A 17116-nucleotide genomic window follows, 5' to 3' on the forward strand; every position below is an offset into this window, starting at 1 on the left:
CAAAGCAGAACAAAACGTGTTTCTAGGTGCTTTGCTACCTGCGGTGCTGGTACACCGCCTCCGTATCTGGACACGAGTGACGACTCCTGCTCTTTTCTCCTTCCTCGGCCCCGTTAGAAATAAGCCCAGTTCCAATTTCAGAGCCAAATAGCTCCAAAAAGCATTGTGGGTATTGTAGTTTTCTGCACACGGGCACTAAAGGTAGGTTAGGGTGATTTACGGATGCTGCAAAAGAATCCATTGCTTACTACACCGAAGGTCAATGCCTCTTGACACCCTAATCAAGGAAATAAAATAAAGCTGACTGAGATCCGCTCGGAAAATCTTTCTGGATCTAAACTCCCAGTGCGCTTTGCGCCCCAAGTGGCCATCGCGCCTGCGCCCCGCGCGGCCGGTTACTCGCTTACCGGAGGCTTCAGTCCCCGGCGGCGCGGCGACAGCTAGGGTTCACGGCCACTGGGGCAGAGGAGCCGCGAGAAGATGTGGGTTTTTGGTTACGGGTCCCTGATCTGGAAGGTGGATTTCCCCTATCAGGACAAGCTGGTCGGATACATCACCAACTACAGCAGGCGCTTCTGGCAGGGCAGCACGGACCACCGCGGGGTCCCCGGCAAGGTGAGGCGCCGGTCAGCTCCCCACACTTACTGCCCCCTGACCCCTGCTCCCCAACTCCACACACAGCACCCACACCCTAGAGAACCACACCTTAGCGCTTCATGGGGCCAAAGCACATGGCTTGGGGTAACATTTCTGTAGATTTTCCCTGCCACCTGCCCGCCATCTCTAACCCAGCCCGGGCACTCCTTCCGAAGCTGCTTAAGATGCCGGTGGTTAGTCTCTAGAGACGGCGAGAAGCGCGGGCACAGGCGCACGAGCTCGCACCAGGCTGAGTGCGGAGATGGGGACTCCATCTCTCTGCAACCTCTGCCAAAAGAAAAAAAGTCCCATTGGCGGGAAGATGAATGCTCATGTCACCACAGAGTTGAAATAGTAAATCAAGTTGCAAATTCAGCTTTTTAGCAATTAAATTTGTTGGCATTTCTGCATTCTAGCCGACTTTCATGAGCTTGCGATTAAACGTGCATGTTACTTCTAGGATTTCTTTACATCTTTCAAAAGTTTTATTTTCTGACACACAGGATTGCAGAATGAGTTTCCAAAATTTTCGCTGGTTATTAAGGAACTCACTTTGGTTTTCAGTACTAGTGAAGTTAAATGAAGTTCTGGTTATATGAATAACATAGTACCAAACTCATTACTATATCCAGCATTATTTTAATGTTACTTTCTTGATGGTTCTCATAATTATAATATGAAATGTAAGTTCATTGATTCACTTTTCAGTCAGTCCTACAAAGACATTAATCTCAATATATGTATAGAGAATTAGCAGCAGCTCACTGCTTATGCAAATCAGCTTTGTACTGGCTACAAAACAACTAATCCATAAAGAAAACTAAGATTGAGGTAACTAATAATTTGGAAATTGGTCAATGGAAAGTGGAAAAGATCAAGGCGCTAAAGTAGTTTGCACCTGCTCATAAGAGAGACATGGGATTAAAATCACGAAAAGAACCTGAATTAGAAACCATTCTATCTCAACTAGAGTTGGTCAGTTAAGAACTTGGCTTTTAAGTAGACTATACTGGCCTATTGGGATGTTGGACACAGTGACCTGAAAAGGGGCAATGGCTTAGGATAAATGCACATTTACAGATCAACAGAAATGTCATGGCCAAAGTATCTCCAAGAATGTTCTAGAACAATATTCAAGACATTAAAGAACTAAGCTAAATTAAATGGCTTCTGAGTTGTCAGTTTTGGCTGGGCCCGGTAGCTCACGCCTCTGATCCCAACACTTCGGAAGTTTGAGCCAGGAGGACTGCTTGAGGCCAGGAGTTTGAGAGTTGTCAGTTTTGATATGAATATTTAAAATTGCCATTCCGAAAAGAAAACCTTTAGCCCAGGCTCCAATTATAATGACCAAGTATTAAATATTTATGTATGTGGCTATAACAACATACTTTACTAGTCTTGACGAAAATGTACAGTGTGTTACAAAACACATTGAGATATGTATGCTGTCAGAATAGACTGATGATTAGAAATTGCCTAGTCAACACAACAGTCCGTGATTCTTTAAAAGGAGAAAGGGGCTGGCCAGGCGTGGTGGTTCCCGCCTATAATCCCAGCACTTTAGGAGGCCTAGGCGGGTGGATCACCTGAGGTCGGGAGTTCAACACCAGCCTGACCAACATGGAGAAACCCCCTGTCTACTAAAAATACAAAATTAGCTGGGCGTGGTGGCGCACGCCAGTAGAGTCCCAGCTACTCTGGAGGCTGAGGCAGGAGAATCGCTTGGGAGGCAGACGTTGCGGTGAGCTGAGATTGCGCCACTGCACTCCAGCCTGAGCAACAAGAGTGAAATTCCGTCTCAAAAAAAAAGAGCTAAAAAAAGGTGTCTTTCTGATCACCTAAGACTCAGAATTCTAACTGCACTTAATACCATACATCTTAGCCCATATCTTAGCTCTATTTATTTCACATGTTAGTTTGCATTCTAGAATGACAATATAAGCTACTGGAACCAAGAATCAAGATTTCATCTTCTCCACAGCACACAGTAGCTATGCATAAATAACTTCTAATTCACTTTGAAATTGAAAATAATATGGCATTATCTACTTGACCCTCACCAATATATATATATCCTCATTGTAGCATCATCTTAAAAAGAAAACAAGTCAGAAATCTAAATGTCCAAGAACACAGGAACGTTTATAGTTCATCAATGACACAATATTATGCAACTATTAAAATGTATGAGAAGACTAACAGGAAAATTAAATGAGAAATCATAATCCAAAATCCCATGTGTTCCATGATTACAAATTATCTATACGAACAGATGAAGACTAAAAGGAAATAGCAACAAAGATGACACAAATGCCTGGATGATTTAGGCTCGCTATGTGCCAGACATTGGGCATACAAGTAGGTAAAATTGTGGCTTATGACTCAGCATTCCCATGAATGATGTTAAGGTATCAGTACACATACAGCCTTTGGTACTCCGTGGACGAAGTTTATTTAAAAAAAAAAAAAAAAAAAAAAAAAGCTTGCAGGCACTGATAGGTGTCACCTTTGTGCCTTAAATTATGGAACATTCCAAGTCTGGACTTTCTCTAAGGCTTTCCATTTATAAGCAAAGACTGTTTTATCAGTCTTTGAAATGGGAGAACAAATAAAACTTGTTTTGGCTTCATAATATATCATTTCAACCTCAAGTTGAATAGTAAAAAGTGAAGCTTTCCATAATATTGTTAACTGACCTGTGTTAAAACCAAAATGGGAAAATAAAATTGCCTAGAACACAAGTGGTCTGATTGTCCCATATAAGAACTACACGAATAGGCCAGTTCTAATACTGACCTTTAAATAGGGCAAAGTAAAGTTCATTTATGAATGTAAAAGAAATGCCTACCTTGAAGCACCATTACCATATACAGAAAGGTAAGAACACTTCATAACTCAGAAGTGTAAATCACTCATTCTCTCTCACTTAAAACCTCTTAATATCCCCTGGTAGCAGTGGTTCTTAAAGTATGAGCCCCAGAACAATTTCTGAAATCAGCAGGAAAGTTGTTACAAATGCAAATTCTTAGACAGCTCCAGACCTACAGAATCAAAAACTCTGGAGGTGTGGCCTAACAATGTCTTTGTCAAGCCCTCTAGGTCATTTTGATCCACTAAATTTGAAAGTCACTTCCCTATATATAGGAAAGCACCCTTTATGTCATATTTTTTTTCCCCTAATAAAACTATAGGCCGGGTGCGGTGGCTCACGCCTGTAATCCCAGCACTTTGGGAGGCCGAGACGGGTGGATTACCTAAGGTCAGGAGTTCCATACCAGCCTGGCCAACATGGTAAACCCGTCTCTACTAAAAATACAAAAATTAGCTGGGTGTCTTGGCGGGCACCTGTAATCCCAACTACTCAGGAGGCTGAGGTGAGAGAATTGCTTGAGCCCGAGAGTTGGAGGTTGCAGTGAGCCAAGATCGCACCACTGCACTCCAGCCTGGGCTTGTTGAGCAAAACTCCGTCTCAAAAAATAAATAAATAAATAAATAAAACTATAACATTCTTTTTTCCTTAAGGGAAAAACCAGAATATTTATAATTACTGCTTCCATTTGCCTTTCATTTTAGATGACCTTTAGTTACTGGTATGTTTTCCAATATATCCATGTAAAGTGAATATAATATACCTAATACGTATAAATTGATGGAAATCTTTTAGAAAGGCCAACACAGTCTCTAGATAAGGTAGGTTCTCTTAATTCACTTAAGCTTTATCATAAAAAATAACTATGCTTAAGAAATAGTGCTTCTTATGAGCAAATATAATTCAAATATTCCATGTCAAAAATGTTGCTAATGCTCAGCTACTTAATGAACTTTATTAATTCAGAAAAATTTTTTTTTACCTTTTTAAAACAGCCTGGAAGAGTTGTGACTCTTGTTGAAGATCCTGCGGTATGGTATAAATATTCTTTTTTGTATAATTTTAATTTTATAAAATGTTGCGATGTTTCTGTTTCAATTTGATTAACAATCATCACAGACAATTTGAACTACCCTAAATTTAGAATTCTTCTCTGTATTTGTGGGTTTTTTTTGTGTTTGTGAAAACTGAGGCCAATAAGAAAAGTTAGAATGCAGAGTGCAAGGTAGACAACAACGTACAGACAAATAGCATGTAGTTTTCGTTTTTGTGGGGTTTTTTGAGACAGAGTCTAGCTCTGTCGCCCAGGCTGGAGTGCAGTGGCGCGATCTCGGCTCACTGCAAGCTCCGCCTCCCGGGTTCACGCCATTCTCCTGCCTCAGCCTCCCAAGTAGCTGGGACTACAGGCGCCCGCCACCATGTCTGGCTAATTTTTTGTATTTTTAGTAGAGACGAGGTTTCACCGTGTTAGCCAGGATGGTCTCAATCTCCCGACCTCGTGATCCGCCCGCCTTGGCCTCCCAAAGTGCTGGGATTACAGGCATGAGCCACCGCGCCCAGCCGTGGGATTTTTTTAAAAACAAGTTTATTAACTAAGAATTTTGTGGTCCCCTTTGACATTAACGGAAATACCTGCCCCCGACAGCCAGACTACCACCGAGAATTAAATGGAACCCTTAAAAGCTCTCTTCACTTTTGCTACCAGTCTCATTTTCAGCAGAAATCTAAGTGAGGAATTCTTATTTTCTTTATTGCTTAATTGTATCAATAGCACCTGTGTGTTGTGTTTTGTGTTTTTGTTTTTAAGTTCAGGAGTACATGTGCAGGATGTGCAAGTTTGTTACATAGGTAAACATGTGTCATGGGGGTTTGTTGTACAGATTATTTCATCACCCAGGTATTAACATTAAGCCTAGTATCAATTAGTTATTTTTCTAGATCCTCTCCCTCCTCCCACCCTCCACCCTCCCGTAGACCCCAGTAGAACCTGTGATTTTAAAACTGGTTTGGAGCACCAGAAAGTTTTATTTAACCAACAATCCTCAGTTTCTTAAATATTTTCAGTCATTTTATTGGGGTACAGATTCAGAATTTTATATTGTGAAATTAAATGTTTAACTTTGGAAAGGACTTTAATAAACAAAAATCAAGCAGTTAGTAATGGCAGATAAATAATGGTGTGGATTAGGAAATGCTTTCATAATTGATACTACGAAAAGCATTTATAAAAAAGATCTTCAAATTGGTAACTTATAACTCCTAATTAAACAGTTAATAAACAAATGGCACTTTGTTTCTAGAATTTTTTAATGACCAAGTGAAAGGCTCATATTTTTCATTTCAGTCCCGTTATTAAAGAAAAAGACCAAATTAAAAAAAAATTTTTTTAAGATAAAATATCTTGCTGTGCCTATGATACAAAGAAATTATTCACAATGGAGATTTTAAAGTGCTTATTTCCTTTATTGTTTAGTATGTTCTTCTGTGCACTTTAAGTGAAGAAAAACTGTATTGACTTTTATTTATTTTTTATTTTTTTGAGACAGTCTCACTCTATAACCCAGGCTTGAGTTCAGTGGCATGATCTCGGCTCACTGCCACCTCTGCCACCCGGGTTCAAGCAATGCTCCTGCCTCAGCCTCCTGAGTAGCTGGGATTACAAGTGCCTGCCACTGTGCCTGACTAATTTTTGTATTTTTAGTAAAGACGGGGTTTCACCATCTTGGCCAGGCTGGTCTTCCACTCCTGACCTCGTGATCCACTCACCTCGGCCTCCCAAAGTGCTGGTATTACAGGCGTGAGCCACCGCTCCTGGCCCACTTTTAAAAATATACAAGATACAGGCAGGCATGGTGGTTCACACCTGTAATCCCAGCACACTGGGAGGCCGAGGCAGGTGGATCACTTGAGGTCAGGAGTTTGAGACCAGCCTGGCCAACGTGACAAAACCCCTTCTCTACTAAAAATACAAAAATTAGCTGGGCATGGTGGTGCATTCCTGTAATCCCAGTCACTTGAGAGGCTGAGGCAGGAGAATAGCTTGAACCCGGGAGGCTGAGGTTGCAGTAGGCCACGATCGTGCCACTGCACCACAGCCTGGGCAACAGACAAGACTTCATCTCAAAAACAAACAGAAAAGAATATATGAGATACTCCCTTAGATCACAACCTTTCTTCACCTATTTTAATTAGCCTTATAATACCAGTGTATTCTTTTCATTTTTCAACAGGGATGTGTATGGGGTGTTGCTTACAGATTGCCAGTAGGAAAGGAAGAAGAAGTAAAAGCATACCTTGACTTCAGAGAAAAAGGAGGCTACAGAACCACAACAGTCATTTTTTATCCAAAAGATCCCACAACAAAACCATTCAGTGTATTGCTATATATTGGAACATGTGATAATCCTGATTATCTTGGTCCTGCACCTCTGGAAGACATTGCTGAACAAATTTTTAATGCAGCTGGTCCAAGTGGAAGAAATACAGAATATCTTTTTGAACTTGCAAATTCTATTAGGAACCTTGTGCCAGAAGAAGCAGATGAGCATCTTTTCGCTTTGGAAAAATTAGTAAAGGAACGTTTAGAAGGGAAACAGAACCTCAATTGCATATAATTTAGTCTTCAGAGAATTAACTTCAGTGCACAATGACAATATGATTTGGAAATACGTTTACTTAAAGATCTTATTTTTAATGTAGTGAGGATATTATTTAAACTTTTATTTTAACTGGAAATGTCCTGAAACACATATTTAAAATATTGGGATACAGTGAAAGAAAAATTCAAATTTTAATAACATAAAGATTTCCTAACTTTATGTTATTGAACACTTACTCACTAGAAGTGAGTTCTTTAGAAAAATACAGTGAAGGACTCAGTTCAGTCTTGTTTTTATCAGAGTGATAATCATCCTGTTTCACATCCCAATACTATTTTGAAATTCTAAACAATTAAACCAAAATTCCAATAAATATAAGGTTATGCCTTCAATATATTCCTATACAATTCTGTAACCATGGTTTAAAATACACAAGCTTAAAATAACATGCTTAGAAATACACAATAATATGAACAGTATTTCAGCCTTAATTGTGAATTTCCTTGTTATTCAAGTATTAAATGAAATCTTTTGAGTTTTTAGCCAAAAATTGGCATTTTTAAAATACGAAAATTTCCTTGGAATTATAATGTACTGTACCTCTTCTTTTTTAAATAAAGGCATTTTACTATATGGAAAATAACTCACTAAAGCATAAATTACATTATACAAATCATGATCACTAATGATGTAGTCTGTCATTCACTTTGTATTAATCTTATACCAAAACTGAAAAAGATGGGCTGATACTACAAATTAATGGCACATATAATGAAAATTTAGTTTTTAAAACAGCTTTTGGAATTCTTTGTCTGTCACTATCTCAATTTGTGTGTGTGTGTGTGTATATACATATATATACATATAAAATTTTTTTTTTCTTTGCAGCCTGCGTCTGGCCATCCCACAGGCTGGAAAGTGTAACCTCTGGCAGAAGCCAAGAACAGGCACCTCCTGGAATTATAATTTTGTTTTGTTTTTTGAGACGGAGTATCGCTCTGTTGCCTAGGCTGGAGTGCAGTGGTGCCAACCTCAGCTCACTGCAGCCTTCACCTCCCAGGTTCAAGGAATTCTCCTGCCTCAGCCTCCCGCGTAGCTGGGATTACAGGCATGTGCCACCACGCCCGGCTAATTTTTGTATTTTTAGTAGAGACGGGGTTTCACCATGTTGGCCAAGCTGGTCTCGATCTCCTGACCTCAGGTGATCCACCAGCCTCAGCCTCCCAAAGTGCTAGGATTACAGGTGTGAGCCACCATGCCCGGCCTATAATTTTTTATTTGTACAAATTTATGGGCTACAAGTGCCATTTTGTTACCTGCATAGATTGTATTTTTTTAAGAAGTGGCATTACCTGATTATTTGTACGTAACTTTTTTCTTTATTTTGTCACCTAAAGAAGAGTATCAATTGGGTGTATGCTGCTACTCAACTAGGAAACAAGTTATTAACTCACATAGAATTAACTTTGATTCAAACCATTCAGGTTATTCCTGATTATAGGTTATTTCTTTCTCAAGAGGACATATAATCTCTCTAGAATCTTTCACCATAAGAACTTCAGTATAAAACTAAACACAATATACTTACTAAAAGCTCCTTAAACTCAGGCATGACTAATAATTAGTACAGAAGTTTTTCACATAAAGCTGTCCTACATGTCCTTTTCATGTTTTCCTATTTATTAACATCTTAGTAATTTACTCAGCTACATATCTACTTTAAATATCTTCCAACATTTTAAATATTAGTTTTCCAGACGGCATTTCACTTGTCCTGTAAAACAGAAAGGGTGATAAATTTATTAAATTTCTAATTTACCATCCCTGGTTCTTTCTTTCCAGGCAATTAGATGATAAATGTGCTTTAAAATTCTCTTCATCACATCACGCTAAAAGTTACCTATCAAATGTTCCTGTTATGCCTATCTTTTTTCAGCAAAAATACTGACTGTATTGTCTATTAATTTATTCAGCTTTTGGCAATCTATTTTTATGGATTTCTAAAACCTTGAATTTGGCCAGTGTAGTGGCTCACACCTGTCATCATAGTACTCTGGAGTGCTGTGATGGGATGCTGTGAAGGGAGGATCACTTCAGGTTAGGAGCTAGAGACCAGCCAGAGCAACAGAAGAGCACCATCTCTATAAAAAATTTAAAAATTAGCCAGGTGTAGTGGCATGCACCTGTAGGCCCAGCTACTCAGGAAGCTGAGGCAGAACTATTGCCTGAACCCAGGAGTTCGAGGCTGCAGTGAGCCATGATCACACCACTGCACTCCAGGCTGGGCAACAGAGCAAGACCCTGTCTCAAAAAACTAAAATAAAACCTTGAATTCACTCTAAGCATATATTACAGACTCAAAGATTTTGTAATCCTGTGGCTACTATGTTGAAGAATTTTAACTCTTCCAAAGACAATTAAAATACCAAAATTTTTCTTCTGTATGTCAAATTTATATGATGAAAATTAGCTTTATTGGATTTCAGGGACTTTTCATTCCTATGGTTCATTTTACCTTTCTAAAATACTATATTTCAGTTTCATTTTCTTGGTTGTTTTACTTAATTGTACTGAGCCTCCTTCTCTTTATAAATGGTTCGCCCACACATGTACACACACTGTAACTGGAAAAACCACCACTAATCCTACAGTTTCTTGTGTTCTTCCAGCTTTCTTATTCTTCACAGAAATTTTTTAACTACACAGTGCTTCACTTCCTTATCAACTCGTCTTAATCCCTTTCCAATTCAACTTTACTCTGCCATACCACCCAATCATTATAGTATCAAGTCTCCAATGACCACTTCCTCACTGAACCCAAAGATTGCAATTTTCATGCTTCTCTGGTGCATCAGACACTAGTGATCAAGCATCCCATGTCACTAAAGCCAAAGACAAAAACATTTCATTGTGTTTCCAGTTACAACTCTTACACTATTCTTTATCAAATACACAAACTCATCAAATCCTAGGCTTCAATTTTACTTGGATAGCTTCCAATCTCCAGCCTACTCTCTCAACCTCTTCATATGTCTGTTACATGAAGGCATCTCCAGTTGTGCTACACAAGCATGGAAACTTATTGTACTAAAACCAGTACTCATCTCCTTTCCCAACCAGAAAATCTGGTCCCACATTACCTCCCTGTACATAATACACATTAAACGTTGAACAATACTTAGTCCAGGAGAAAAATAAACAGGTTTATGATACTCATATCAATTTATAAGCTTTTGGAGGAAATAGATGGTATTTTCACAATATACACAAAATGTGTTTGTGCCTTTTTATTAAATTTTACCCTTTGTTTTACTAAAAACAATATAACATTTTTTAAAAAGTGTAAGCAATCTTGGCCAGGTGTGGTAGCTAACGCCTGTAATCCCAGCACTTTGGGAGACCAAGGCGGGTGGATCGCCTGAAGTCAGGAGTTCGAGACCTGCCTGACCAATATGGTGAAACCCCGTCTCTACCAAAAATACAAAAAAATTAGCCAGGTGTGGTGGCGGGCACCTGTAGTCCCAGCTACTTGGGAGGCTAAGCCAGGAGAATTGCTTGAACCCAGGAGGCAGAGGTTGCAGTGAGCCAAGATGGCGCCACTGCACTCCAGCCTGCGCAACAGAGCAGGATTCTTGTCTCAAAAAAAAAAAAAAAAAAAAAAAGAGTGTAAGCAATCTTTAATTGGAGGCCATTTGGCTAAGATGGTCCTAGGACTCTGGGTTCCTATGTAAGCAAACTGAAGCCCAATGTAAACAGTGAAACAAAACTTAATCTTTGCTTTTTATTTTTTAATTATAAACTGACTATAGTTATATATTTATGAGGTACAAAGTGATGATTTATGAATACAATGTGGAATAATTAAATCTAGTTAACATATCCATGACCTCAAATTTTTTTTGTAGTGAAAACTTTTAAAAGTTACTCTTAGCAAGTATAAAGTACATTATTAGTCACTATATTCACCATACTGTGCAACATATCTCAAAGAAAAAAATTCCTCCCCTTTGACTATCATCTCCCCATTCCCCCATGCCTTCCCTCCAACCCTGGTAACCACTGTTCTACTCTCTGCTTCTTTTAGTTCAACGGTTTTAGATTAAATATATAAGTAAGCACATATGTTGTTTGTCTGCTTGTACTTGGCTTATCTCATTTAGCTTAATGTTCTCCAATCCATCCATGTCGTCACAAATGACAAAGTTTCTTTCATTTTTAAGGCTGAATAGTATTCCACTACGTATGTACACCAGATTTTTCTTTATCCATTCATCTGTCTAAGGACCCTTAGGTTGATTCCGTATCTTGGCTATTGTGATTAATGCTGCAATGAACATGGGAGTGCAGATATCTCTTCAACATACTGATTTCCAATCTTTTAGGTAAATACCCAGAAGTTGGATTGCTGGATCATATGGTAATTCTATTTTTAGTTTTTTGAGGAACTGCCACTGTTTTCCATAACGGTTGTACTAATTTACATTGCCATTAACAGTGTACAGAGGTTCCCCTTTCTCCACATGCCTTGCCAACACTTATCTTTCATCTGTTTGATAGTAGCCATTCTGACACATATTGGGGTGATATCTCATAGTGGTTTTAATTTGCATTTCCCTGATGATTAGTAATGTTGAACATTTTTTCATGTATCTGTTGGCCATTTGTATGTCTTCTTTTGAGAAATGTCTATACAGGTTCCTTGCCCATTTTTTAACTGGATTATTTGTATTCTTTCTATAGAGTTATTTGAGTTCCTTTTATATTCTGAATTTTAATCCCTTATCTCATGTATGGCTTGCAAATATTTCCTCCCAATCCATAGGATGTCACAACTTAATTTTAATCAGAAACCAACAACTATTCTCTAACAAGCAACTTTCTGCCAGATTGTACCCAAATAAGACAAACAAGTAGCTATGACAATCAAGTAATTTTTTTTTTTTCAAGACAGGGTCTCGCTCTGTTGCCCAGGCTGGAGTGCAGTGGCACAATCACAACTCACTGCAGCCTCAACCTCCCAGGCTCAAGCAATCCTCCCACCTCAGCCTCCCAAGTAGCTGGGACTACTGGCATGTGCCACCATGCCTGGCTAATTTTTGCATTTTTTGTAGAGATGGAGTTTCACCATGTTGCCCAGGCTGGTCTTGAACTCCTGAGCTCAAGTGATCCACCTACCTCAGCCTCCCAAAATGATGGGATTACAGGTATGAGCCACTATGCCCAGTCCAATCAAGTAATTTCTTTACTTCGCTTCCACATTCAGCCTGCAAAGGTCTGCCGCTTACTCTGTTAAAACAAGAGCTCCCTGAACTACTTCTAATTTTGGGTGCTGCCAAATTCATTAATCCTTTAACACAAAAACAAATTCTGATAAATTGATTTCGTCTAAAGTTTTTCTTTTAACAAAGTCAAAATGAAGTTACCAAGGAAGCCCTGAAGGCTTTTTGTGATAAGGCTTAAAAGATTACATGATAGTAAAAGGTTACATGCTGAAAGATTCTCAACTAAAGAGCCTTATCATACATCAAGAGCCAGAGTTTCTTACATATTCTTCTTGTTTCCAATCTCTTTTCCTCTTTCCAATACACGCTCTACTGTGCACTCAGAATTACTTACCTAAAATATGAAACTGAGGTCAGTAATCAAAATGTCTTCCTGCTGCATATAAAATAAATTCAAATCCTTTAATCTGGCATTCAACTACTTACCATCTGGTCAATCTGGTATCAGTGTATTTGTCAAATTTCACTTCCCACTGACGTACTCCCCTGCCCCTCATGCTCCAATCACACCACCCTCCTCATTCTTTAAGACCTAGCTCAAATGAGCGAACTAATGTTATGTGGCAAGCAATGACTATGCACTGAGACCACCAAAATAAATAAGATAGTCCCCGGCTATCAAGAATCATATTTGGTGGAGAAACACACAAGCAAACAAATCTATGTTATTTAATATAAAAGATGTGATATAAAATACAAGCAGAGGGGTGGGTATGGTGCTCGTGCCTGTAATCTCAGCAATTTGGGAGGCCAAAGCAAGGGGATCACTTGAAGTCAGTAGTTTGAGACCAGCCTGGGCAATATAGTGAGACCATGTCTCTACAAAAATGTAAAAATTAGCTGGGCATAGTGGCACATGTCTGCAGTCCTAGCCACTCTGGAGGATAAAGCAGAAGGATCTCTTGAGCCCAGAAGTTCAAGGCTGCAGTGAGCTATCATAAGGCCCCTACACTTCAGCCTGAACAACACAGCAATACTCTGTCTCTAAAACTAATAACAAATAAATAAAATACAACCAGAATACAGAAAGGCAAATTACCAATTCAAAGTAGCAGAATCAGAGAAAGCTTCATAGAAAAAACAAAAAGGTGTTCATGTGTCAGAGAATAATGGTTAACACTTATGTAGCACTAACTATATGCTAGATTCTATTCCAAGTGCTTTATGTATATTAACTCATTTAATCCTTATTTTCTACGATGATGAAAATTGCTTAAGTAAAACAAATGTAGTATCATTTATTGAACATTTACAACATGCCAGGAACTGTGCTAAGCACTGAACAGGAACAAAATGAAATTAAGGCCTACAATTTTAAAAAGAACAAAAAAGGAAGCCGGGCAAGTGGCTCACACCTGTAATCCCAGCACTTTGGGAGGCTTGAGGGGGCAAATCACTTGAGCCCAGGAGTTCAAGACCAGCCTGGGCAACATGGCAAAACCCTATCTCTTACAAAAAATACAAAAAAAATTAGCCAGGCGTGGTGGTGCACACCTGTAGTTCCAGCTACTGAGAAGGCTGAGGTGGGAGGATCACTTTAGCCCAGGAGGTTGAGGCTACAATGAGCCAAAACCATGCCATTGCACTCTAGTCTAGGCAACAAAGTGAGACTCTGTCTCCAAAAAAAAAAAAAAAAGTGAGAGATGGTAGTTATCTCATTTTGTACCTCCATTGGTAGGGCTTAACCCCTTTGAGATTCTTTCCATTTTTTTTTTCTTTTGAGACAGAGTTTCACTCTTGTTGCCCAGTCTGGAGTACAATGGCGCCATCTTGGCTCACCACAATGTCTGCCTCCCAGGTTCAAGTGATTCTCCTGCTTCAGCCTCCAGAGTAGCTGAGATTACAGGCATGAGCCACCACGCCTGTCTAATTTTCTATTTTCAGGAGAGACAGGGTTTCTCCAGGTTGGTCAGGCTGGTCTTGAATTCCCAACCTCAGGTGATCCGCCTGCCTCAGCCTCCCAAAGTGCTGGGATTACAGGCGTGAGCCACCACGCCCGGCGGAGATTCTTTTTTAATTAGGACAAAATAAAATAGGACTTTTTAAAACAGGATTTAAAAGATTCACCTAATTACTTATCTCCTACAGCCATAATTTTCTTTTTAAACAACAGTATGCCTTGCCCAATTTTTTCAACAGCATTGATTTATTCAACAAGTACTGGCTGGGTGCCATGGCTCACATCTGTAATCCCAACACTCTGGGAAACCAAGAATTCAAAAAATAAAAAAATTAGCTAGGCAGGCTGGTGCACACCTGTAGTCCCAGCTACTCAGGAGGCTGAGGTGATGGGAGGATCGCTTGAGCCCCAGAGGTTGGGATGGCAGTGAGCAGTGATCATGCAACTGCACTCTAGCCCGGGTGACAAAGCGAGACCCTGTCTCAAAAACAAACAAACAAACAAAAAAACAATGGATTACTCACTCTATGCAAGGCAAACTAAGCACATACATTTTCCTCCGCTTCCTAACAAAATCGCACTGAAATGCACTCATTCATTCTGGAAGAGAAAGCAGGTAGGATTATGCTGAGGATTAAGCCAGTGCAGAGAAAACTGCAGTCCAGAACACACACACATGCATACATGAGAAGGCTATAGCAATGTAGAAGACATTCTTGCCAGCAGAGCCTGGAGAGGTACCAATCTTAGAAACAAGCAGAGGAAGGACGTAGGACTAAAATCAGAATTATTATAATATTTATATGAAACAGCAAGCCAAACTTTTTACCACAGCCCTTTACACACAAAACGCCTGGCAGCAACAGTATTTGTTTCTGGCTAAAACCACATCTATTTTGTTGTTATTGCTCTTTTTAATTTAACAGTCTACCCTGGAAGCCTTTGAGCATCTTCATGTTCCATAACAAAGCATTCCTTATTTGGGTACAGGGTGGAAGGAGAGGAGGAAAGAGGCAACTCGTTTCTTGCACTTCACTCAAGGACCCTAAAGTTAGACCCAACAGCTAGTACCCTGCTCACTTACAAAAGAGCTCAATAATTTTTTTTTTTTTAGATGAAGTTTCACTTTTGTCATCCAGGCTGGAGTGCAATGGCGCAATCTCGGCTCACTGCAACCTCCGCCTCCCAGGTTTAAGTGATTCTCCTGCCCCAGCCTCTTGAGTAGCTGGGATTACAGAAGCCTGCCAAGACTTCCGGCTAATTTTTTTATTTTCGGAGAGACAGGGTTTCACCATGTTGGCCAGGCTGGTCTTGACCTTCCAGACCTCAGGTGATCTCTCAAAGTGCTGGAATTACCGGTGTGAGCCACTATGCCCCGCCAAGAATTTTTTTTTTTGAAGTAAAAGCACAACAGACAGAAAGGATGAAAATAAACAACTGACCTGAAAGAAGCAGAGCTATTTCCGGGAATGGGACATAAATATTTAAAAGTTATAAGTGTTATCCTCAAAGAAATTCATGTCATGAGAACAATGCATCCATTAAAAATAACTAGATGACTAGAAACTGTGGGGAAAAAACCACTGAAAAAAGAAAGTGAAAAGAACTGAAAATCAAGGAAATGGACCTCTTGGATTGATCCTTCGTATTATGTATTTTTTCTTTTTATATTTTTCCTCTGTATTTGGAAGAATCTATCTAAATGTATTTGGAAGAACCTATCTAAATTCTGAATAGAACAGAGAAAATGTCAAGAACATAATTAAAGAAATAATTGAAGAAAATTTCCCAGAAGTGAAAAATAGGATTCATAGAGTGCCAAGAAGGATGAATGAAAAAAGATTCACCACCTAGAAACACTGATAAAATATCACAGAACCAATGATAAAGAAAACAGTCTAATAAAATCTTCCAGAGAAAAAAGTATGATACCTGCAAAAGAAAGAGACTGGCATTAGACTTGTCATCAGATACACTAGACACAAAAAGCAAGAGAATGTCTTCAGAGTTTTGAAGAAAACAAAATGATTGTGGACTAAGTCTATTCCCAAGCTATCATTAAATGAGCAGGCAAGGTAAAGGCATTTTCAGACATATGAAGTCTGTGGAAATTAAATTACCTGTTTAATCCTTCCTGAAAAAAATTGCTTGAAATTAGTTATACCCCTACAAGGTGGGAAAAAAATCTATGACAAATGAGGACATGGAATACATAAAGCAGTAGACCTAACCCAGGCATGATACAAAAAAATCTCAGTAAACAGGTATGCAACTGACTTGTAAAGCAACTAGTCTAAATTACATGTGTGAGAGCTGGAAATACAGCTTCAGGAGCAAAATGAGTTTATTTTAGCAAACATGGTGCCATTATTAGGAAGCTAATAGGATACCTTAATTGGCAGAGGTAGAATTACATTTTTTCTCTGCAGATGCAATCATACTTAATAGTTTTATAGCGAATGATGATTGTATAATTACAATATGGTAAATAGTTGATAAGTTTTCAATGTTTAAGAATCAACCTATAAATAAAGCATAAAAGACTTGTACTGATTGATGTCCTGTGGCTCCTTAAAATGTGTAAAACCCAAGTGTAGCCCGACCACTTTGGGCACATGCTGTCAGGACCTCCTGAGGCTGTCTGTGACACGTCCTTAACCTTGGCAAAATAAACTTCTAAACTGGTTGAGACTTGTCTCAACTACTTTTTGGTTTTCATCCTCTATTACCTTCCTGAGGCTGCTGTAACAAATGACCACAAACTGAGCAGCTTAGACAGCATAAATTGATTGTCTCACAATTCTAGAAACTAGAGGTCAGAAATCAAGAT

At 39.1% G+C, this 17116-nt stretch overlaps 3 protein-coding genes across 6 annotated transcripts in view, besides 2 other annotated features; 1 reads left to right on the forward strand and 2 right to left on the reverse strand.

Moving 5' to 3' along the window:
- ASB3 (ankyrin repeat and SOCS box containing 3) overlaps positions 1-17116 on the reverse strand; it is a 116974-nt gene that overhangs the window by 97427 nt on the left and 2431 nt on the right. The gene's annotated exons all lie outside the window — the stretch shown is intronic.
- Positions 1-17116, reverse strand: part of GPR75-ASB3 (GPR75-ASB3 readthrough) — a 189675-nt gene that overhangs the window by 97114 nt on the left and 75445 nt on the right. The window lies entirely within an intron of this gene.
- Positions 370-719: an enhancer, noted in NCBI's record as "active region_15753". NCBI's record gives its function as "activates an Ori minimal core promoter by ATAC-STARR-seq in GM12878 lymphoblastoid cells {active_cell/tissue: GM12878}" and the evidence as "EXISTENCE:reporter gene assay evidence [ECO:0000049][PMID:35858748]".
- On the forward strand, positions 377-7790 carry CHAC2 (ChaC glutathione specific gamma-glutamylcyclotransferase 2). Of its 2 annotated transcripts, none has more exons than NM_001346127.1 (3): positions 377-615; positions 4501-4541; positions 6736-7790. In NM_001346127.1, the coding sequence occupies exons 2-3, from the start codon at positions 4539-4541 to the stop codon at positions 7117-7119; spliced, it is 387 nt and encodes a 128-aa protein (NP_001333056.1). In that variant the 5' UTR covers positions 377-615; positions 4501-4538; the 3' UTR covers positions 7120-7790. The 2 variants fall into 2 exon arrangements, with proteins under 2 accessions (NP_001333056.1, NP_001008708.1); NM_001008708.4 differs by having other exon boundaries at positions 398-615; positions 4501-4536.
- Positions 740-929: an enhancer, noted in NCBI's record as "active region_15754". NCBI's record gives its function as "activates an Ori minimal core promoter by ATAC-STARR-seq in GM12878 lymphoblastoid cells {active_cell/tissue: GM12878}" and the evidence as "EXISTENCE:reporter gene assay evidence [ECO:0000049][PMID:35858748]".

The sequence above is a fragment of the Homo sapiens genome, chromosome 2 (genome assembly GCF_000001405.40).
Source record: "Homo sapiens chromosome 2, GRCh38.p14 Primary Assembly".
NCBI lineage: Eukaryota > Metazoa > Chordata > Mammalia > Primates > Hominidae > Homo > Homo sapiens.

What these genes read in the sequence shown, in the direction of transcription:
- CHAC2 (NM_001008708.4), top strand. Translation starts at nt 481, where the DNA reads ATGTGGGTTTTTGGTTACGGGTCCCTGATCTGGAAGGTGGATTTCCCC. An exon ending in ACCGCGGGGTCCCCGGCAAG is followed by an intron (nt 616 to 4,500) that starts GTGAGGCGCCGG and finishes TTTTTAAAACAG; the next exon opens with CCTGGAAGAGTTGTGACTCT. An exon ending in CTCTTGTTGAAGATCCTGCG is followed by an intron (nt 4,537 to 6,735) that starts GTATGGTATAAA and finishes ATTTTTCAACAG; the next exon opens with GGATGTGTATGGGGTGTTGC.